Source organism: Homo sapiens, chromosome 10 (assembly GCF_000001405.40).
Source record: "Homo sapiens chromosome 10, GRCh38.p14 Primary Assembly".
In the NCBI taxonomy this organism is placed as follows: domain Eukaryota; kingdom Metazoa; phylum Chordata; class Mammalia; order Primates; family Hominidae; genus Homo; species Homo sapiens.
This window is the reverse complement of record NC_000010.11, coordinates 1,264,160-1,287,565: the sequence shown is the minus strand read 5'-3', so window position 1 is coordinate 1,287,565 and position 23,406 is coordinate 1,264,160. Positions and strand designations below refer to the sequence as shown.

The 23,406-nt window shown below is 47.6% G+C and overlaps 1 protein-coding gene across 1 annotated transcript in view, besides 4 other annotated features; it reads left to right on the top strand.

Annotated features, from left to right (window-relative positions):
* ADARB2 (adenosine deaminase RNA specific B2 (inactive)) overlaps nucleotides 1-23,406 on the top strand; it is a 560,213-nt gene that overhangs the window by 449,960 nt on the left and 86,847 nt on the right. The window contains exon 4 of the mRNA NM_018702.4: nucleotides 16,497-16,611. Coding sequence (NP_061172.1) covers nucleotides 16,497-16,611 — 115 coding nt within the window. The remainder of the gene's footprint in view (nucleotides 1-16,496; nucleotides 16,612-23,406) is intronic.
* Nucleotides 14,172-14,672: an enhancer, noted in NCBI's record as "H3K4me1 hESC enhancer chr10:1315089-1315589 (GRCh37/hg19 assembly coordinates)". NCBI's record gives its function as "activates a minimal SCP1, AML or CMV promoter by ChIP-STARR-seq in naive H9 embryonic stem cells {active_cell/tissue: H9 hESC(naive)}" and the evidence as "EXISTENCE:reporter gene assay evidence [ECO:0000049][PMID:30033119]".
* Nucleotides 15,001-15,201: a silencer, noted in NCBI's record as "peak840 fragment used in MPRA reporter construct". NCBI's record gives its function as "represses an SCP1 promoter by STARR-seq MPRAs in K562 erythroleukemia cells {active_cell/tissue: K562}" and the evidence as "EXISTENCE:reporter gene assay evidence [ECO:0000049][PMID:32103011]".
* Nucleotides 15,294-16,178: an enhancer, noted in NCBI's record as "H3K4me1 hESC enhancer chr10:1313583-1314467 (GRCh37/hg19 assembly coordinates)". NCBI's record gives its function as "activates a minimal SCP1, AML or CMV promoter by ChIP-STARR-seq in naive H9 embryonic stem cells {active_cell/tissue: H9 hESC(naive)}" and the evidence as "EXISTENCE:reporter gene assay evidence [ECO:0000049][PMID:30033119]".
* Nucleotides 16,179-17,064: an enhancer, noted in NCBI's record as "H3K4me1 hESC enhancer chr10:1312697-1313582 (GRCh37/hg19 assembly coordinates)". NCBI's record gives its function as "activates a minimal SCP1, AML or CMV promoter by ChIP-STARR-seq in naive H9 embryonic stem cells {active_cell/tissue: H9 hESC(naive)}" and the evidence as "EXISTENCE:reporter gene assay evidence [ECO:0000049][PMID:30033119]".

Sequence of the window (23,406 nt, the reverse complement as noted above, 5' to 3'; positions counted from 1 at the left end):
CACGGAAATGGAGAGGAGAAAGGCAGTTACCAGGGGCTAGGATGTCCGTCAGAGCACGCGAGGTTTCAGGTAGACAGGAGGGACAGGTTCTGGGGATCTGTCACACAGCATGGTGATCATAGTTAATGATAATGTATCATGTATTTCAGGACAGCCAAAAGAAAGGACTCTAAATGCTCTCATTACAGTAAGTCTTTGAGGTGGTGGCTATGTCAGCCTGATATGATCATCCCACAATGTGTATATGTATCAAGACATCACATTGCACCCAATACATATATACAATTATTATTTGTGAATTAAGAATAAAACTCTAAAAGGCTAACTATGTAGCTTTGATTTCCTTATGATTCAACTCGTTATTCAGGTTCTTTTAAGGGGACCATCCTGTGAGCACAGTCGTGGGGGACAGGCCTCACCAGCAGCAGCAAAGTCAGAGAGTTAGCCAAGACAGAGGCCAACTTCAAGTGAGTCACAGGAAAGGTCACCCCAACATACGCCTCCTCAAAACTGCATTGCCTGCATACTTAATTGTATCAAAATGTACCCTTTAAACAGGTTACTTTAATTTGAAGGATGAGGCACGTGGGGGTGAGTTATTTCTGTATTTTTTCTAAAAAAATGTTATGTTTGCACACAGTTGGATGATAATGGCAATAACAACAGCAGCTGGTATTTGAGTGCTGGATGCTGAGCTTAACAGTGCCGGGTACCAGGCTAAGCACCTCCATCCACTGTCATCCAACCTCCTAACACCCCTATGACACCAGCACTGTTCCTACGGAAGAGACGAGTGCAGGATGCTGCAGGCGTACATCTCTGTGCCAAGATGCAGAGCCTTGGCCTTGAGGAGTGATTATGATGATGCCTCTTGCAGAAGAGGAACCCGTGGCTCAGAGACCCCAATTGCCCCGTAGTGGTCATGCAGCTGGGGGAAGGTGGTGGCAGAACTCAACTCTGGTTCTTCTGATCCCAAGTTTAGGGCTTTTCCCACCATACAATGGCTACAATAAGGGATTTTTCCTTTTCATGCCTTCACTCAAATTTGCCATCCGCCTTTAGGTAATTTGAGATTTAGAATAATTAAATAGTCAGATAATTTGAACTATTTGGTTGGACATCGGTTTTTACCAGTCCCTGATTTTGAAATTAATGAAGCTTTATTGTAATTGTCAGAAAACAGGGCTCATTACATGACATAGAGACTGCCTCTTCCACAGAAACACAAAGGGATATGAAGATGGAAGTCAGGGAAGATCATCTTCCATTTTCTCTGATTATCCCGGAGGCTTCGGTTTGTGTTTGGCTGGACTCTCCTGGCAGTGTTTCTCCTACTTCCCGGGTCTAGACGGGGTGTGTTGTTTGAGAGGGGGCTTCGAGGTGTGTCCCACCTCCATGTGGACTCTGGCCCTGCGTCCCTCTGCCATCTGCACTCCCAAGCCCCCTCTTGGCTCTCTCCAGTGAGGCACCACCCGCCCCCACTGCCCCACCACCCGCCCCCGCTGTGAAACAAAGTTCAAAGGGGAAAGGAGCCTGGGGACTCGGGGCAACGGTCCTGGATTCCGCATTGCCCCACCCACGTGCAAATCTAACCTTTCTGATTTTTCAGCCGTATAAACCCAAAGACAGGATTTCAACAGGAAAATATTTACTAAAGGCTTTCTCCTTTATAATCTATGGATTTTAGTATCCCACCACTTTGGCTGAATGTCAATTTTACCCTGAGGACTACTGCTGCAAATTTGAGCACATTTTATTTATTCATGCCATTCAAAATATTAGTGTTGGAAATGAGTAAAGTTTGAGTCTTGCAATGTTCCCATTTAAAGTTCATTTTCCAATGTGAATAATGCTGGTAATTTGCCATGGTAATCGGAGCCAATAGGCAAAATGTGGGCAACAAAAAGTGGGAGCTAACAGAGCAGCCTTTTGCTTTGCTTTTCCGTTAAGCACGGGAATGCACAGCTCATCAAATATGGGGCCAACTCCCCACTTAACCCTGGAGCTGGAAGCACCTGGTTATCACTATTGTGTAACGAGAAACCACACACCCTCTCCTCTGACCATTGCTGGTCCAACGTGCAGCCGGTGCCCATTTGTGCATTCATAGCTTCAAGGCTGGGTATCTTAAACCTCTGCTCTGAGGGTGCCAGGCAAAGCCTCAGGGCATCACCAAGGATTCTCCAGAACCCCCACCCACCCAGTCCCACCTACCACCATCGTCCCTGCGAGAAGCCGAGCTGCTTTGTAAGGGTTCACAGGAGGGCGCGTTTCCCCACGGTGTGAGCTCTTTCCTGGGAGGCATGAAAGACTGGTGCAAGACACATTAACCCTGCCCCGCTGCCAAGAGACCCTTCAGCAGGCATTTTCTAAATGGCTAAATCACCAACAATAATGGGGACAGCTGGATGTCTCTCTTTTTCATATATAAAAAAGAATTTATGCTGCAGATGACTTTTCTGTTGATTATTCAGGCTTTTTTGAACAGGTTTTAGAGTCTCTCTGTGCAGGGCTTTCTATATTGCAAAGCACTATCTCACCTGCCCCCAGTCCAGCCTCTCTCGTCCCCTCCCCAGCCACTCACCTGTCCTCTGCAGGAGCTGGGGCATCTGGATGGCAACCTATGCCTTCCTGATATTGTCTGGAGGGGAAGTCACCCCTCAAGGACTGAAGGTGGGCCAGACCATGAGGGTCTCTAAGGCCCACCTTCCTCTCCCACTCAAGGACTGGAGTTGGACCCCACAGATGTGCTGAGTTCTATATCTCGAGGATTTACAGTGTATGGTTGGATTTGTTTTCCGAGACCTTCTGGGAATCCACCTCAAAAGAGCATCAGGTAGTGTCCATGAAGATAGGCTGCCACAGCTCAGATTCAGACCTGAAACAACCCCATTTCTGCCTCAACTACTTGCTTGCTTTAGATCTTTGGCCGAGCTACCAAATCTCCCTAAAACTCTTTTGCTACAGTTATAAAATGGGACGGTTCTTCACATAGTTGTTGGGTGGATTAAATAATGTGTTAACAGTTCCCAGCAGGGATCTCAATCGAGAGCCTCGCAGGGTGCTACCCGTGCTGTGGGTGGAGGCAGCCATCGGTAGTAACAGCTATAGTGCAGGTCCAGTGCAACAGTTTAACCTTCCTAGCCCTGAGAGCATCCTCATAATTCACCTTACATCTAGGGTGCTTGAAGCAAAGCAAAACAACAAACTGCTGACCTTACCATGACTGAGACGTGCCCTCGGTGCCAGGCCCTGGATCACTGTCCTCACCAAGACATGTGGCCCCTCACACAGCTGCAGACCCAGCCCTGTCACCCTGCCGGTCAGGGTCCCTCAAAGGACATCCATGTGCCTGGGTAACGTCTGAGCTTCACGTGGGAGCGATCTCTGCCTGTTTCTGTGCTGATGTATCCCTGGCAGGTATAATCGTGTCTGACCCTGAGAAGCATTCCATAAATATTTGATGAATTAACAGATGAACTCCTTGGCCTGGAATCGAGACCCTACACTCTCCTGTAGTGAGTGGCCCTTTCAGTTTAATTTCTCATAACTACTCTGCACAAATTCTTACTCAGGCCAGACTGATCTACTCTTTGTTCTTATCCCAAAAACAAATGTTTCCACCTCTGAACTGCTTCAGGCTATGGCTTCTACTAAGTTTTTATGATCATTTAATCCCTGACAATTTAGATTCTTTCTGGGCTTTGAAGGAATCACATAAACTATCTCTTCCAGGGAGGCTTCCCTGACTACCCCACTCCCAGTCCCTACCCAGAAGTGGCCTCTTCCTCCTGCAAGTATCTGTACAAGTCCAGTGAGCCACATGAAGGACACAGGCCATAGGCTGTCTACACTGGTTATTCTCATGATGGACAACACTCCACTGCTCAGGCATGTGTTATAGGCTGTCTACACTAGTTATTCTCACGATCATCAACACTCCACCAATAAGCCACATGAAGGACACAGGCCATATAGGCTGTCTACAGAAGTCATTCTCAAGATCGTCAACACTCCTCTGATGAACCACATGGAGGGCATGTGCCATAGGCTGTCCACACCAGTTATTCTCATGATGGACAACACCCCACCAATGAGCCACTTGTAGGACACGTGTCCTAAGCTGTGCACACTACCATTAATTCACAGGATTGTTAACAAATATAGAGATCATTGCAGCCCCTTAATTATAAAGTGGTTTATGAGGATTAATTGAAAACATGCACCTAAAGCATTTAGAAAGTGTCTGGCAAGTAGCACGATTTCAATGACCTTAGCTAGAACTCCTATTAACCAATAGAAAGTCAGTAGAAACAGTAACCACTTGTCCACAAGGTCTGTGGTATATTACACATGTATGACATGTACAGGAGAAAGAAAGACAAGCATACAAATTATGCCAGGAAAGGACACAGCTTGAAAGTGCTGTAAGACACCAAGGGTTCCCATGCTGGGAAGCCTTTATAAAGGAGCTGGCATTTGACCTCCATAGAGAAACACAGGTTTGTCTACCTTCTGTGATGCAAGTTCAAGTGGACGGAACTAGTAAGCACATGGTTTTTGAGCACCCTAGGAGCCTCTGTAGAGCTTCTGACGTAGGCACCGAATTGAAAGATATGATGGGAAGGTGCGGATTGGTCATAATACACAATGAGATAACTCAGTTCTCTGGGTTATGGGAAAGTGTCTTCCCTTATTTTAGAAAGGGACCATGCAATATAACTTGGCCCATGTGCTCAGAACACTAAATCTGAATGCATTTATCCATCCTAGGAGATGAAATGAACCCCTTGCAGGCCCATGAGCATATTCTGTAATTTGCATGCAAAAAATTAATCAGGCACAAGCTTATTTTTGAGCACTTTAGCTGCTTCTCCTGTAAACCAAGTGCCAGGTGGGGAAGAAAATCACATTATTGCAAAGTCTGATTAGTTGGGTTTGCAGTAACCAAAGTTGACTGTATATATTATATCCCAAGTGATTAAAACATTAAACATCCCTAGTGTTAAAGAAGTATGTCTCCCTATCTGAATTCTAAGCTGCTGTCTAGCTTCTAACACCCTATGTCATCAATGGCAGTATCATTTACATACAGTAATTCAACTATGGAAAACTACATAGAGCTGCAATCATGTATGTGATTTAATTAAAAACCAATCACTTAAAATACCTGTGGCACAGTAGACACAGTTCTGTGGAGAGACCCGGAAAGGGCTTCACTGGGGAAATGGAAGGACGCAGTGCAAAAAAGCAAGATCTGTGTTGAAAGCTGTGTTGGTTATCAGTAAGACGGGTTTGTGGCCAAGCACAGAAATATTTCAGGTCTCTGAGCACCACGTAAACACCAAGGTGGTCTCGAAAGGACAGGGAGGGGAGGAAGATCTGCAGTTAGTAAATGGGACCCCAACACAACCCATTCTAACTCCACTTCCTGGAGAAAGAGATTAATTACTCAGGCAGTGAGGTTATCACTGGAGCTGAGCTGTGCCAACCTGTGGGGACCCCAGCCAGGAGGTGAGACTTGCTGAAGCCGTCATGGGAAATCACGCTGGTTAAATATCAAAGAGAGAAAATTTAACCAGCTTACTACAAATCTCTCTACATTTTAATTAGTTCACCACCCAAAGTAAGGAAAGTTTTTTAAATTTTTGCTTTTCTCTTTTTACATTTGCCTTTATAAAATGTTAGTTGAAAAATATGCTTCATATAAATGTCAAGCGCCCCTCAATTTAAAATGTAAAGAATAAAGAAAAAAGGATTATAGAGGAGGAGATGGGGTTGGCTTTTTAAACGGAAAAAAAAGTTCTCATGGAAGTTTCCTGGGCTTAGGAGTGTAGCGAGAGCAGTCACCCAGGAACCTAGTGCCACATCCTCCCCATGCAGCCCTGCGGTCCCTGAGGGGCAGGATGCTGGGGCACTCTGGGGTGACAGTCTCTGTGCACCCCTCGGTGCTGCTCCTGAGCCCTGCTGGCACCGTGCTGAGAAATCACGCAAATTGTCTTTCACCAAGGCTGGACTTGCACGAGAGCTGGACAGATTCTCAGAAACAAGTGCTGGAGCTATCCAATCCATATCTTTCCATTGGACCAGGATCGACCAGCACAAAGCATATAAGCGCATGGTGCTTTGCCTGGGCCTCCTATTGCATACCTGAATCCACAAACCACCAACACACAGAAATCTAGCATTCCATAGGTGAGGCCCTAATAATGGCTACTTTCATAACAAAAATGTTTTCTACTGGCCAGCAGAACAGTGAGGAGGAGCTAGTTCCTGAGGCCTGGGGACCCCCCAGCACATGCTCAAGACCTGCCTCCAGGCCTGAAGAGCCCCTAAGTGGAGATGAGGTCATCATCTGGACCCACCAAACGTGTGACATCAGCAATAGACCAACTCATCATGGATCCACCACACATGTCAAATCAATCATGAGTTATGGTGCAGAGACATTTTCTATTTATAAGTTGTAAGATTTCATGCACTATTTGCATAAGTCTTCAATTTGATTGCCACGTTTTCTTTGTCTTTTTCTCATGGATTTCTCTCTTCTATGACTCAGAGTAAATAACATTGTTGCCGTAACCCACGGCCCCCAAAGCCAGTGGCGCACTATAAATAAGCCGTGCGTGCTCAGCCTGTAGCTAATTCCTTCACCCTGGCCCCAACCCTCTCGTGGCTCCATCCTGGGGTTCTCTGAATCCAGCTTGTAGGGAGGGAAGAGAGAAACGGGGGATTGAGAAAGAGGAGGAAAAGAGCCTAGGAGGCAAACACGGAGCATCACTCAGGAATTTCACGGAGCGTCACTTAGGAATTTCACGGAGCATCACTTAGGAATATCATAGAGCATCACTCAGGAATATCACAGAGCATCACTTAGGAATTTCATAGAGCATCACTCAGGAATATCACGGAGCATCACTCAGGAATTTCACGGAGCATCACTCAGGAATTTCACGGAGCATCACTCAGGAATTTCACGGAGCGTCACTTAGGAATTTCACGGAGCATCACTTAGGAATTTCAGGATCCACACCTAAAAATGGCAAACACAATTTTCTCCAGCACTCAACAGGCAGCCCTGGTCACACAGCCCTCCTAGATGCTGGAAGCAAGGAGATGTCATGTGTCAAGGAAGGAGGGATAGTCCACACCTGCATGTCCACATGTTTCTAGATAAAGCCTATGAGGGGCAGAGAGCAAGTGGTGCCTGCCCCTAAGGTGTACCCACCAGGCTAACACATGACATGGGTTCAGAAAGGGAGCCGCTCAGGTGACATCATGTTTTGTTTGATGGAACTAATGTTTGTGTCCCCCGAAATTCATATGTTGAAGCCCTAATTCCCAGTGTGGCTGTATTTGGAGATGGGGCCTCTAAGGAAGTAGTTCAGGTTAAGTGAGGCCATGAGAGTGGGGTCCTGATCTGATGGGATTAGTGTTCTTGTAAGAGGTGACACCGGAGAGTGAGCTCACTCACTCTGAGCCAACAAGGTGATGCTGCCACAGACATTCAGTTGAGAACATCCTGTCCCTGACCTCCCCCAAATTCACATCCTTCTTGCATGGCAAATGCACTCATCCCATCCCAACAGCCCCAGAAGTCTTAGCTCATTCCAGCATCAGCACTAAGGTGTGAAGTCCTGAGCCTCAACAAAACTTCACCTGAATCAGGAATGGGTGGGACTCGGGGTGCAATTTGCCCACCCTGAAGCTGAGCTCTCCCCTCCAGCCGTGAACCACGGAACCCAAACAAGTTCCATGTTCCCAAAATATAACAGTGAGCCAAGCATGGAGTAGACGTCCCTTTCCAAGAGAGAGAAAGAGGCAACAAGGAAAGGATGGCAGGGCCCAAGCAAGTCCAAAACCCTAAGGAAGTACTTACGGCAAAATGAGGTCATGGAGTTGAGGCAGCTTATCCAGTGGATTAGTGTCCTTATTAAAGATGACCCCACAGGCCAGGAACGGTGACTCACACCTGTAATCCCAGCACTTTGGGAGGCCAAGGCAGGAGGACTGCTTGAGCCCAGGAGTTTGAGACCAGCCTGAGCAACACATTGAGACCCTGCCTCTACAAAATACTGAAAAATTAGCCAGGTATGGCACCCTGTGTCTGCGGTCCCAACTACTTGGCAGGCTGAGCTAAGAGGATGACTTGGGCCCTGGAAGTTGAGGCTGCAGTGAGCTATGATCACGCCACTGCGCTCCAGCCTGAGCAACAGAGGGAGACTATGTCTCAAAATCAAACAGACAAACAAACAAACAAATGATGCCATGGAGTCTGGTCCTGCTCTGTCTTCATGCATACACAAAGGAGAGTTCATGTAGCACATGACAAGATGGCAGCACCCACGCGCCAAGAGAAAAGGCCTCAGAAAGAAACTGACCTGGCCGACACCATCATCTTGGGCTTCAGCTTTCAGAACCATTAAGAACGTTAATTTCCGTTGCTTAAGCTGCCTAGTCTATGGTATTCTTTTACGGCAGCCCCAGCAGATGAAGACAGTGTGAAAAGGTTGGGGAAAAAAATGCTGATAATAACTGGTGGGAAAAATAACCAACTTTTTTCTGAAATTTTACTTTTTAGATAATTCATCCTTGAGAGTTTCACTTATCCATACACGCAGTCATTCATTCGAGAGGTTGATGACAGCCATGATCACTCATGGTGCTATGGCAGGACCACGAAAATGCAAAACGCATCCAAGCCATGCTCCCAGCCACAGATGCAGCACTGCATAGGAGTCACACCATAAAACATGAACTGCTAGGTAATCATGCAGGAAAAAACATGAGTCGACCCCTACATGAATGTTGCTGGAGTTCTAAAGGCAGTGGATTGCAGATGAGGGAGAGGACCTCCAAACAGGGGAATAGGAAACCTTTCGGGCCTAGGAAGGAGTTTTAGAGACTGAGGCAGGGCAGGACATAATGGATTGAGAAACAGGCTATGCCATAAAAAAAAAAAAAGAATGAAATCATGTTCTTTGCAGCTACATGGATGCAGCTGGAGGCCGTCATCCTAAACGAATTAACAGAAAAAGCCAAATACCACATGTTCTCACTTATGAGTGGAAGATAAACATAAGAGTACTCACAGACATCAAGATGGGAAGAGCAGACACTGGGGAATACTGGTGGGGAGGGAGGGGGTTGAGAAACTAACTACCAAGTACTGTGCTCACTACCTGGGTCACTTGTACACCAAACTTCAGCATCACTCAAACCTGCACATGTACCCACTGAACCCAAAATATAAGTTGAAACTTAAAAAAAAAAAAAGAAAAAAAGGACCGGGTGTGGTGGCTCACACCTGTAATCCCAGCACTTTTGGGAGGCCAAGGCGGGAGGATCACCTGAGGTCAGGAGTGCTAGACCAACCTGACCAACATGGCAAAACTCCATCTCTACTAAAAAGTACAAAATAAACTAAAATTAGCCAGGCATAGTGGCGCGCGCCTGTAGTCCCAGCTACTTGGGAGGCTGAGGCACTAGAATTGCTTGAACCTGGGAGGCGGAGGTTGCAGTGAGCCGAGATCATGCCACTGAGGTCCAGCCTGGGTGACAGAACTAGACTCTGTCTCAAAAAGGAAAAAAAGAAAGAGAGAGAGAAAGAGGGGAAGGAAGGAAGGAAGGAAGCAGAAAGAAAGAAGCCCACTTGATCACGGTGGATAAGCTTCTTGATGTGCTGGTGGATTCGGTTTGCCAGTATTTTATTGAGGATTTCTGCATCAATGTTCATCAGGGATATTGGTCTAAAATTCTCTTTTTTTGTTGTGTCTCTGCCAGGCTTTGGTATCAGGATGATGCTGGCCTCATAAAATGAGTTAGGGAGGAGTCCCTCTTTTTCTATTGATTGGAATAGTTTCAGAAGGAATGGTACCAGCTCCTCCTTCTACCTCTGGTAGAATTCGGCTGTGAATCCATCTGGTTCTGGACTTTTTTTGGTTGGTAAGCTATTAATTATTGCCTCAATTTCAGAGCCTGTTTTTGGTCTATTCAGAGATTCCACTTCTTCCTGGTTTAGTCTTGGGAGGGTGTATGTGTCGAGGAATTTATCCATTTCTTCTAGATTTTCTAGTTTATTTGCGTAGAGGTGTTTATAGTATTCTCTAATGGTAGTTTGTATTTCTGTGGGACTGGTGGTGATATCCCCTTTATCATTTTTTATTGCATCTATTTGATTCTTCTCTTTCTTCTTTATTAGTCTTGCTAGCGGTCTATCAATTTTGTTGATCCTTTCAAAAAACCAGCTCCAGGATTCATTAATTTTTTGAAGGGTTTTTTGTGTCTCTATTTCCTTCAGTTCTGCTCTGATCTTAGTTATTTCTTGCCTTCTGCTAGCTTTTGAATGTGTTTGCTCTTGTGTCTCTAGTTCTTTTCATTGTGATGTTAGGGTGTCAATTTCAGATCTTTCCTGCTTTCTCTTGTGGGCATTTAGTGCTATAAATTTCCCTCTACACACTGCTTTGAATGTGTCCCAGAGATTCTGGTATGTTGTGTCTTTGTTCTCCTTGGTTTCAAAGAACATCTTTATTTCTGCCTTCATTTCATTATGTACCCAGTAGTCATTCAGGAGCAGGTTGTTCAGTTTCCATGTAGTTGAGCAGTTTTGAGTGAGTTTCTTAATCCTGAGTTCCAGTTTGATTGCACTGTGGTCTGAAAGACAGTTTGTTATAACTTCTGTTCTTTTACATTTGCTGAGGAGTGCTTTACTTCCAACTAAGTGGTCAATTTTGGAATAAGTGCGGTGTGGTGCTGAGAAGAATGTATATTCTCTTGATTTGGGGTGGAGAGTTCTGTAGATGTCTATTAGGTCTGCTTGGTGCAGAGCTGAGTTCAATTCCTGGATATCCTTGTTAACTTTATGTCTCGTTGATCTGTCTAATGTTGACAGTGGGGTGTTAAAGTCTCCCGTTATTATTGTTTGGGAGTCTAAGTCTTTTCGTAGGTCTCTAAGGACTTGCTTTATGAATCTGGGTGCTCCTGTATTGGGTGAATATGGGCAAGGACTTCATGTCTAAAGCAACGAAAGCCAAAATTGACAAATGGGATCTAATTAAACTAAAGAGCTTCTGCACAGCAAAAGAAACTACCATCAGAGTGAACAGGCAAACTACAAAATGGAAGAAAATTTTTGCAATCTACTCATCTGACAAAGGACTAATATCCAGAATCTACAATGAACTCAAACAAATCTACAAGAAAAAAAACAAACAGCCCCATCAAAAAGTGGGCGAAGGATATGAACAGACACTTCTCAAAAGAAGACATTTATGCAGCCAAAAGACACATGAAAAAATGCTCATCATCACTGGCTATCAGAGAAATGCAAATCAAAGCCACAATGAGACACCATCTCACACCAGTTAGAATGGTGATCATTAAAAAGTCAGGAAACAACAGGTGCTGGAGAGGATGTGGAGAAATAGGAACACTTTTACACTGTTGGTGGGACTGTAAACTAGTTCAACCATTGTGGAAGTCAGTGTGGCGATTCCTCAGGGATCTAGAACTAGAAATACCATTTGACCTAGCCATCCCATTACCAGGTATATACCCAAAGGATTATAAATCATGCTGCTATAAAGACACATGCACACGTATGTTTATTGCGGCACTATTCACAATAGCGAAGACTTGGAACCAAGCCAAATGTCCAACAATGATAGACTGGATTAAGAAAATGTGGCACATATACACCATGGAATACTATGCAGCCATAAAAAATGATGAGTTCGTGTCCTTTGTAGGGACATGGTTGAAGCTGGAAACCATCATTCTCAGCAAACTATTGCAAAGTCAAAAGACCAAACACTGCATGTTCTCACTCATAGGTGGGAACTGAACAATGAGAACACATGGACACAGGAAGGGGAACATCACAACCGGGGCCTGTTGTGGGGTGGGGGGAGGGGGGAGGGATAGCATTAGGAGATATACCTAATGTTAAATGATGAGTTGATGTGTGCAGCACACCAACATGGCACATGTATACATATGTAACTAACCTGCACATTGTGCACATGTACCCTAAAACTTAAATTAAAAAAAAAGAAAAGAAGGAAAGAAAGAAAGACTGGCTGTGGAGTCGGGAATGTGTGGACCTGGGGAGAGGAAGTGCCCTGCCCTTGAGGGCGCCATGGCTGCTGCCTGGAGCCGCCCTGCAGGACTGAATGTGCACACCTGGGTGCCATGGCCTCCTGGCTGTCAGCTGCACCTCCCACCTCCTCCAGCTGGGGTGGGTGGAACTGTCCGGCCAGCAATATCTCCATTCTGCTCTGTCAGTTCAAGGCCATCTCTACCAGCCAGGGGCCCTTGTCACTCTAGAAGAAAGCTGAGCATCACTCTCCACCTGGCATCTGCTGGCCATGCAAGCCCTCCCCAGTGAGTCAAGGAGGCCTTCATCTGTGGAAATGCTGAGGCCCAAACCAAATGTGATTCATTCCACCCCAGCTGTTCCTCAAATGACCCCACAAGGGAGCGGCCAGGGCTCACGCTGCTTGGTTCATAGTGGGAGCCTAGGGCAGGGGTACAGGCCTGCAGGGTGCGGAGAGTGGGTGGCCAGGCTCCACCACGGGCCCCCCTCCAAGGGCCACTGCCTTCTTGGGGTGCCAGCCGCCTTCACCCGTGTCCCGGCCGCAGCTGCTCCAGCCTGCACCCAGAGGCAGTGAAGCCTGCAGCCATCCTTGAGTTCAGATCCTGCTTTTCCTCAGAGCAATCTGGTCACCAGTTCAGTGCAAGGGTCAAGGTCAAGGCAGCTGGGGTACGTCCCGTCTCTGCCACCCCCTGCTGTATGACTGGTTGCGTTGCTTCAATAGCTAAAAAGGATAATATTGGCACCTTCCTGGGCAGGTACCGCGCCTGCTCAGAATGAGTCCCTGTTGTCACTGTTTGTGTGTCTTCCCATCTCTAAGGGGACAGAGCACTCCCTAGGTTTCCACAGTGAAATCTGTGTTTGCATGCACTGTTATGACTCAGTGGTCTGAGACCATCCTGATGTCCTGTGCTGGAGCCTCTCAAGCAGACACAAAGTGACACAGAGAGGCCTCCTGTGCTGGACAAGCTATCACTTCTTAGACATTTGAAACTTCATCCTAAAAAAAAAACAAAGAGCTACACACGTCATTGGGAATAACTCTGGAGCACAGCGTGTGCTGGAATCAGATGCCTGGCACCAGAAAAGCTGTTTTAGAAGCAAAAGATGTAGTTTTGTCCTTGAATCAACATTAACACCCATGAATCACCCAGAATCGGATACCAGAGCTGGCAACGACAGTGAACCCCGTGGGACAGATGTGGCCCCCAGGCTGCCATGGCCACTGCCTGAGCTGGGGAAGTGTCCCCGTGGCTGGAGTCCAGGACGCCTGTGCAGCAATGCTGATCGGTGCTGCCCTCGCCTGCCCATGTGCCGTGGGGCGGACCGGCGGGAGAGCAGTCTGCATTCTGTCACCTGAGAAAGGGAAGCTCTCCTACTCATCCTTCAAGGTTTATCTCAGACATCAGCTTTGGACAAGGCTTTCTAGACCCTCTTCCCAGTGGGAAGCCCTTCAGTGCCCTGTCCCCTCTGCAGGGCCGGTGAGGATGAGCACTGCAAGTCAAGGCCCAGCACAAGCCTCCCCACCTCCCAGACCTGCTGGCAACCCACGAGCCCCGGGCCTGGCAGAGGTCCCACCCGTCACCCGGTCCCAGAGCCAGGGCTGCCCCATCAACCCTGTGCCCGGATGCTTTCCCTGGGAGATGCGGGAGGTCCTGGCAGGATGGGGCTTGCAGCACACGCCCTGCAGGAGCCTGTGGTGGGGCTGCTTATGTCACCTTCACCGTCTGTCATGGTGCTGAGAAGCTGACTTCTCGAGGCCTGAGGTGATAGCTGAGGCCTGTTGGGGCTCCAGGACTCTGTGGGCCTCTGTCCCCCTGCATCTTCTTCTCCACCCCAGCTCAGAGCTCTCAGCGTGCAAGGTCGTGGGGGGCACAGGCGGGGCCGGACAACCTCACAGCCAGGCCTGACCTTTAGATGTGGGCAGCCAGCCTTCTAGGGGAGAACCAAGGACCATCACGAAGGCTCCCGCCTGCCACCCACCTTGTGGACGTCGTTCATGGCAACTGTGTGTGATTTGGGCACCAAGGAAGACCAGGTTATCACAGGGGCCTGGCCCAGTGGCTGGAGCCTGTAATCCTAGCGCTTTGGGAGGCTGAGGTGAGAGGATCATTTGAGCCCAAAAATTCAAGGTTGCAGTGAGCCGTGATAGTGCCACTGCACTCCAGCGTGGGCAGCAGAGAGAAACCCTGTCTCAAAGAAAAATAAAAAAATTAAGAATCACGCTCTCCCTTGACAGCATGCATTGAAAGAGTAAACGAGGGTGCAGCAGGTTGAACAGCCCCAGAAAGACACGTCCAACCCCATGACGGTGACTGAGAAAACGTTCTCTGCAGATATCCTCAAGTTAAGGACTTTGAGATGGCCTCATCCTGGATTGCCCAAGTGGGCCCTAAATTCAATGACAATTGTCCCTACAAGAGGCAGAAGAGCAGACACAGACACAGAGGAGAAGGCCACGTGGGGATAGAGGCGGAGACTGCAGTGATGCGGCCACCACCCAGGGACGCCCGGAGGCCTGGAGCCAGGAGAGGCAGGAAGGCTCCCCAGAGCCTCAGGAGGCAGCACCGCCCCTGGACACCTCAGTCTCAGATCTCTGCCTCCAGAGCTTCGGGGGGATGAATCCCTGTTGTTTAAAGACCCCCAGTTAAGGGTATTTTTCCAGCAGCCCCAGGACACAGCACACGGGGTGTCCAGGACACAGGTTTCCCTCTCTGGACCTGATTCCAGACACGAAAGACAGGACAGCTGGGAGCAGCCTGGACTGGGAGCACCCAGGAAGACTCCAGGCTCACAGCAGTCCCTGAAAGGTCGGGGTGCCTTTCATCTGCAATCTGTCCTATGTGGGGCTTCCATATTGATTCACGACACAGTGGGAAAAGTAGCTGACATCATTTACAGGCTACAGCGGCTTGAGGCCCTCAAACCCCGGGGTGAGCAGAGGAGACTGCGCCGGGCCCTGCACTTCTGCCCTTGACTGCAGAAGAATTAAGAGGGAGAGGTGCTAGGTTGTTTTGTGGCATGTTTTTTGCTTCTGGCAGGCAGGGCTGTTTTCACACAAACATGTTTTATTGCCTACAAGTGGGATTTTTAAAAACTGTCTATCTTTCTTAGCGTTATTAATCAGAGAGCTGTCCTTATCAGCAGCAATGCCTGCGCAGCATCAGCGTCCACACACGCCCGGTGGAAATGTGGAAACCAGGCCCAATGCTGCACAGTATCAACATCAACACATGCCTGGTGGTAATGGGGAAGCCCAGTCCACCAGGAAAAGGGACTGTTTCCTGCCTCCTGGATGAGATGATGAATTGATTTGGCTGCTCAGAGGCTCAGGCAATGCCTGTGGTGACTGGGGGAGATGATGATAATGATGAAAATAATAAGAGTAATAGTCACAGCCGTCATCTCTGAGCACTTCCTACCAAGTGTGGGGCACTGTGCTGAGCACTTAAGACACCGTATTGCATTTAATCCTTACGAAAACACCATAAGGTGGAAATGAAGATGATTCACTTGTAAATTAGGAAAATGGGCTCCGAGGAGTTAACGACTCACCCAGGCTCCTGAGTGGCAGAACTGAGGGTCCAACCAGGCTTCCCTACTCCAAGGCCTGCAACGGCTATGCCAGCCAAACTGCCCCCGAAGAAAAGCTTGGGGCCCCATGTCAAGGAAAGGGCAGTGCTGCAGCCTTGGGCCCAGAGGAGCCGGGGAAAGGGCGGCCACAGAGCCACACTGTGTGTGCTGTCTTCCCAGAGACCAGGAGTCACCTTATCACTAATCAGATTATGTTAAGGGGTGTGCAGGGGCACACGTGTATGTGTATGTGTGTGTCTGTGTGTGTGCATGTGTGTGCATATTCGTGTGTGCACGTGTGCCCTAGGTGTGTTGTGTGTTGCATGTGAATGTGTGCATCTGTGTGCATGTGCAGGAAGGTGAGAAGAAGTTGTGGAGAGAGCCACAGCGCCAGCCATTTTGCCAGAAGAGCACCCTGAGACTGCTGGCTGTGTAGACACTGGCTCTGGAATACTCAGAAGACTGCGGTGGCCCATCATCCCTATAAAAATTCCCTCCCCGCCGAAAGACTCCTCCAGTCACTGCTCTGAGAGGCAGGGAGAGGAAGTAGACACTGTTTCCATGGGGAGGTTGGCAGAGCTCAGGGTTTCTGCTGAGAGCAATGCTGGGGTTAACCACTCATAAGCCACTCAATATGATTCTGAGTTTTGGGGGCACAGCCAGGGAGAGGCCGTGTGTGGTCACGTGGTGACAAGGCTGTGAGGAGGGGAGGAGAGCAGGCCCATGTGTGGCCACATGGGGATGAGGCTGTGAGGACGGGGAGGACAGTGCCCCATCATCCTCCACGGCACCTGCTCAGCCCAACGTGGAGGCCTGTGCTTGTGTCTTTCAGGAATTCGCAGACTCCATATCCCAGCTGGTCACACAGAAGTTCCGCGAGGTGACGACGGACCTCACGCCCATGCACGCCCGCCATAAAGCGCTGGCAGGAATCGTCATGACCAAAGGTAGCCACCTCCTCTTTTCCTGTGGGCATTTTCATCTCTAAAGAAAGGAGCATTAGCATCTACCTGATCTTGGAGGCCAAAAGGCTCTCTCTTCCACAACAGGCTGTGACAAAGAAAGACAAAATATTATAGCATATACAGAGATCAGTGGCCAGAGCATATTAGCAGGAAAAGCCATCCTGACCATGGTGCTGTGATTAGGCTGCCGGGGCCCAGCTCTGCTTGGGCATCCCCCGTCTCTGGGGGGCCTGGCCAGCCCCTTCCGGAGGACCCACGTCTCCTGAGAGTCCTAAGTTCCTCTGGTTGGGGTGTAACCCACCCCGAACGCTCTCCTTTCTGCCAAGATTCCCCATCTCAAACTCAGGGAGGGAATTCCACTCTGAGAAACAAGGGTGACCCAGCCGCGAGGGGCATGCTGAGAGCCAAGAAGGCGTCCTCTCCAGTCAGCCAGGATGGGGGAAGATGAATGAGGGCTAAATTTGATCAATCGGCCCTGTGGAAACAACGAGCCACCAACCCATTAATAACAAGCCAGCTGGTTATTTGAATTCAACCATTTCCATTTCCAGAGTTTTTCACGAGTGTGTAATGACCTCCTCGTCACACTCACTACACTCTCACACACTTGGGAGTCATTACTGTGAAATAGTAACTGACCTTTGGATTAAGTTTCACACACACACTTGCTCTGCATGTGCCGGCAAAATCTAAGGCGGAAAAAGACCATCGAGCTGACATACAAACATATTTATGTTACAAAATAAAGGACCAAATGACTGGCATGGTTCTCAGCCACGCTGGGCCAGCAGGGTCCTCTCCAATCTTGCTGGGTGTGGGAACACTGGAACCCAGCACCATGTCTTGGCTGTGTGATCTTCCCAATGTGGGCCTCCTGGTAAAATGAAAATGAAGCTGCTTTCTTACAATGTAGCTGGGTAAGATCTAGAATATGAGATTCTTTGAAAGGTAAAGTTGCTTTATAAACACATCATCCAGTATATAAATATACCAGCCCCACCCTGGCCACCAGCAACTGGCCCCCTTTCAGACACAGATGACACCTGCCTCTTTGTGGAATTAGGAATGTTCTAAATTGAGGGCTAAGAGTTCACCTCCACCAAGCTCATCCCTGCTGGAGGTGACCATTCCTTCATCCTCCAGCATGCAGCCATCAATTGGGCACCGCCATACACTGGGCACTGCTCTGTAGGCCCACGGGGCTGTGAGGAAGAGACACAGCCCCCACTCAGGGTACAGCAGTCTCACTGAGGGAGCAGTGAGTTTGGCAGGCCAAGAGCATCATCCTAGCACAGAATCCAGCCCCACCTGCACAGAGCTCTGCGACCCATGACCAGCCACTGAGCCTCGCTGGGACTCTGTTCTCTCACCTTTAAAATGGGGATAACAGCAACACCTACCTGATCAGGTTATTTTGAAGGCTAAATGTGTTCATGTATTTCCAGCTCTTAGAAAGTTACCTAGCCCATGGCAAGTACCATGTAAGTGTTAGTTAATTATTGGTAATGGCACTATTTACAAATTATTTAGTCAGTGCCTGGCATACAAAGTTCTGGGGAATCAGCAGAACAAGAGACCAAATGCCTACCCTTGTGGCTCTTATATTCTAGTGGGGAATGGTTCATACAGAACAATTTAAATCCAATATAAAAGAACTATAAAAGAATTACATACACACAGGGTTGCTGGTCCATATAAACAAAACTTTGGTAAATTTTAAAATGTGGAGTGTTACACAGATTTCTGCTACAGATTTCTGAATAACTCAGGTTAAATTAGTGTCTTGGTATGAAAAGGAAAGGAGGAAGGGTAGGGGGAGGGAGTAGAAAGGGGAGGGGAGGGGCACCAGCCACCCTGGCTTCCTTATTGTGCAATGCACTTCCAGCCCCAGAGGCATAAGTCAGTATGACCTGGAAAGTAAGTTTGTAGCATTTCTCAGCGCTGGAACTCAATATCTTTCCATCTTTCTGGGAAACAAATCTGGCAAGTTTTGGAAGCTACTGTCAAACTTCATGTGGAAAATAGTAATGTTTTAGAGGCTTGTGGGGAAATGATACTTCTAAGTTGCCAGTGAATACAATGCTTTATGTGTAGGCAATTTATCTATATGAATTAAATTTACTACATGAAAATGAGACTTCATAAGGTAGAGCTTCACTAATTAGTGACTTCTGAATGCTGAAGAATAACTTGCTTAAATTTACTTTCCTATTGTAAAGAGACAAACACTGATTTTAAAAAATTAGAAATGTGCAAAATTACTAATACAAACATTTTTAGATACTCATTTACTTAAAGTTGATGTGCCATTTGATCTTAATTCTAGTTCAGTTATTCAAGCAAATACCTAAGAAATTCTCAGAGTAATATGTCTTGTTCTAGTTGCTGTATATGTCACAATGTTTTAAAATTAAACTTATTTTGAAATAAAACACAATTTGATTTGCCCCTCCTGTGGATGGGATGCCAACTCATTCACATTTATTAGCTCCTGAAAGTTCTGTTTATGAATCAGAGACCATTTCTTAGCCATTATGAGAAATATAATCACAGAAATATATACTTATGAACAGAAGTTTTTATTTTTATCAAATTAATGCAGTCATATGGTAAAGATTCTAAAGAACTTCTGAATGAAAAGCCGTATTCTCCCACTCCACCCCTCACTCCCCTTCACTCTCAGAAGCCACCTCTAACCATTTCAAATTTTTTTCTTGTGATTCTAAGTACTACATACTTCTATATTTCTAGATTTTCAGTTCTAGATAACATCTATTGACTCATGCTATTAACATTTGATACTTTTTTCATTTTCCATTATTATGTTTGTAATGTGCAATTATAGATAAACCTTTATTTCTTATTGCATCAAATTTGGGTGTGGTTTCACTCCCTGTTCTGTGCGTTGAGGGTGGCAGCCCTCAGCCCCTTCCCCACTAGCCAGCCTCTCTCAATTATACGTGTTACATCTTTACACCATCATCACTGGTATTTATATCCTTTCTTATGCCCATAATTAAGTCTTCTCTACTTTGTCTTTTGAGTGATTGTAACAGCTGAACAGCATCTATCTGATGAGAGTGTTGCAGATATTCCCACTACAGAGCCAAGCAGAACCACCTTCAACCCTCCCAGCACAGTTCCGCTGGGAAGGGAGCCTGGCTGCCTGGCGTCAGGACACGCAGAGGCTCCGCCTCCACCCCCAGCTCCAAGTTGTGTTGTGTTTAAGTTTGATTCACTTGTGTTGCTAGACTTGCTTATATCGCTTTTGAAATATTGTGCGTGTTTTTTTCTGGAATGTCTTCTTTTTTCTCTTATTGAAAAAAAAGAAAGAGGAAGATTGTGCCTTTACCATACGTGCTAAGTCACGAGGCTTCTATGGAAGCATCTCACAGAGGGTACCTGCCTCTCTCCCAGAGAACTCCCAGGCCAGGCCCATCGAGGCACGTGCTCTGCAGACCCGGCGTCCTGCTCTTCCAGTGGGACACCATCTCCGGAATCATTGTCTTCCTCCTTGCTTTGTCTCCCCTCATAGAGAGCTTCCTCAAGAAGCATCATCTAAAACGATGGGAGATCAACTTTGTGAATATTCCCACATCTCAAAATTCCTTGATTTGCTTGTCATCCGTCTCAATAGATTCCCAGGGGGGAATTCTAAGCTTTCAATTATTTTCCCTCAGTATTTTGAAGTAATGTTTCCATTATCTTTTATCCAATATTTCTGACCTGCCTCACATTTTCTCTGCAGTGACCAGCACCCACACCTACCCGGGAGGGGGAAAGGTTTTTTTTTTTTTTTTAACTTGGATTTAAGAATATGTTTAGGTGTGAGCCATTCACTTCTCTTGACATATTTAAGCTATTTGTATAGTTTTATGTCATTTGTTTTATGAATTCCTTCATTTACACGCATTTTTGTTAAATTTGCAACACTCTATTAATTTTCTGCTTTTACTTTTAAAATTTGTCTCTTCATTCTTTTACTCGATGTTTTTGGAGATTTCTTAAATTTATCCTACAGCTCATAAACTGCCTTTCCCTCCTAATTTTTGCAACCTATTTTCATTATTTAAATCTTTCCCTTATCCTCCATTCTTCCTTTTTCAAGGGAGCCTCTTGTTCTGTAGCTGTAACTTCTGCTCAACTCCTCTGAGGAGACGCCCTGGCCCGTGTCCTCCAGGCCAGGGGCAGTGGCTTTCTGTTTCGCGTGGTCTTTCTCCCGTGTCCTGCTGATGGCTCTCGTCTGAATACACACACTTGTGAACGAGACGTTAGACTGGTATTGTAGGCGTTGGCCTGGTGTCTTCTGCGGTGGTGGCCGGCTGGTCCTTCTCCCACAGGCTCCCGCCCAGATGGGAAGGCGGCCCAGGGCCCATTTCCATCAGCTCAGGTCTCCTTAGGATTTGTGGGCACGGCCCCCCCCCCACCCCCCACCACAGCGCCAATGAGGTGGGGTCCCAGCCGGCCCTGGACCCTTCTCAGGCGGTCCTTTCCTCCCTGTAGGGTGGGACTCCATCTTTCATGCTGAACAAATGCTTCCACCCTCAGGCATTCTCCCCAGAGAGCAGGATGCTTGGCCAACTACCACAGCCATTTACTTAAAATAATCCAGTGAGCCCTATGCCAGGAGCACATGCGCTGTTGCACCGGACCTACAGGCACGAGGCTGGGCCCTCCCAGGCCTGACCTCGAAGACAGCTGCTCTCTCTTCCACTGGGAAGCTTTGTTCTCATTCTCACCACTCCTTCTCGGCGCCGACCCACACGCCATCTTCTCAGAGGGCGTGGACCGTGTCTTCCGGGAGAGCGTGGACCTGGCTCAGGCCGTCTTCCGGGAGAGCCTGGGCCCCCTCTCAGGCCGTCTTCCGGGGGAGCGTGGACCTGGCTCAGGCCGTCTTCCGGGGGACCCTGGGCCCCCCTCTCAGGCCGTCTTCCGGGGGAGCGTGGACCTGACTCAGGCCGTCTTCCGGGAGAGTCTGGGCCCCCCTCTCAGGCCGTCTTCCGGGGGAGCGTGGACCTGGCTCAGGCCGTCTTCCGGGGGACCCTGGGCCCCCCTCTCAGGCCGTCTTCCGGGGGAGCGTGGACCTGGCTCAGGCCGTCTTCCGGGGGACCCTGGGCCCCCCTCTCAGGCCGTCTTCCGGGGGAGCGTGGACCTGGCTCAGGCCGTCTTCCGGGAGAGCCTGGGCCCCCCTCTCAGGCCGTCTTCCGGGGGAGCGTGGACCTGGCTCAGGCCGTCTTCCGGGAGAGCCTGGGCCCCCCTCTCAGGCCGTCTTCCGGGAGAGCGTGGACCTGGCTCAGGCCGTCTTCCGGGAGAGCCTGGGCCCCCCTCTCAGGCCGTCTTCCGGGAGAGCGTGGACCTGACTCAGGCCGTCTTCCGGGAGAGCCTGGGCCCCCGCTCAGGGCGTCTTCTGGGAGGGCATGGGTCCCACTCACCCCTTCTCTCCATCACACAGTAGTTCAGCGTTGTTCCCTCCCGAATCCTCTCGTTTCACTGGAAAAAGAGAAGCAAATGTTCTCCCCCATCCTCTTGAACCCCTACAATACTTACTAGCCAAACTGTCAGGGCACCGCTTTATTTAGAAACTCTTGTGTTTCATGAGCGAATGATTCTTAAAGGGGCTGTTGATGGTGATGCCTTGCATTTAATATGCAGATTTATAATTTTGACAGCATTTTTACATACACTAATCAGTTTGATTGACATAACCCCGATAAGTGGGGAAGGCAGGAATTCTTATTAACACTTCAGGAAATGCAGACACGAAGATGAAGAGGCCAAGTGGCTTTCCTGATGCCCTGAGGGCGGGGCAGAGCTGAAATGTAGAGCTGATGGTCCTTTATCCTTCCCAGTTCCAGGTTCCTTTTGGAAGCAGGCATCAAGGCCCGGTGGTGACCATGCATTACCTCTTTATGGGAAATTATTTTTCGAGTTTATTAATAACTAGAAAAAAGGAGTTTTCTAGAGTACATTAGGGGGTCATGTTTAAATTTTTGCTAGTCTAGCCTACAAAACATATTCTGAAAATATGGCTTTTATAAATATTCTTTCCCATTTAAACTAAGGTCCAGCTTTATCGCTCCACAATTTTCTTGGACTGACTTACAACTGCCCTGGAAAAATGCACATTTCTTGAAAACAGCCTGGTAGAGTTCAACTTTGTAAAAACAGCCCAGGACAACTAGGAAACCCTTCTGAGGGAAGTGGTCCGGCCTCTCTTATTAGGAAAAATACAAAAGTGCCAATTAATTCCACGATGGAGCATAAGTTTTCCAAGTTTTGAAATGTAGACTATGTTTTGCTGCATATGCTTGGCTTTGAACCTAAAATGAGCACATAAGGTAAAGAAATGTGTCCGTACTGTCTGTGCCACGCTTTCGGCTTGAATAAAGAATTGTGTTATTGTGTTGTACCAGATAAAGCTGGTTATCAAACATGATTTTCCCATTTGCACTTTAGAAACCATGACAGTTTAAATACAGTTAAAACTTCTCTTTCCATCATACAAAGAGCATCTGTGTAAGTTCATCTTCACAAGGACCTAAGAGAAGCGGAGTATAAGGAGTTTATTCCCCCAATTTTTCAAAACCTTTCCTTCCGTTGTCTCCCCTGAATGACTGGCAGTCACTTTGATCTTAAAATTAAAAGCAAGGTCTTTTTATTTGCATCCAGTCGGGCATGAGGAAGATAAGCTGAAACAAATGAACTGGACAAAAATCCCTAAACAGAAACCTCATGCTGCGATGAAAGATGGTGAATTATCATCTGTATTTCAAGGAA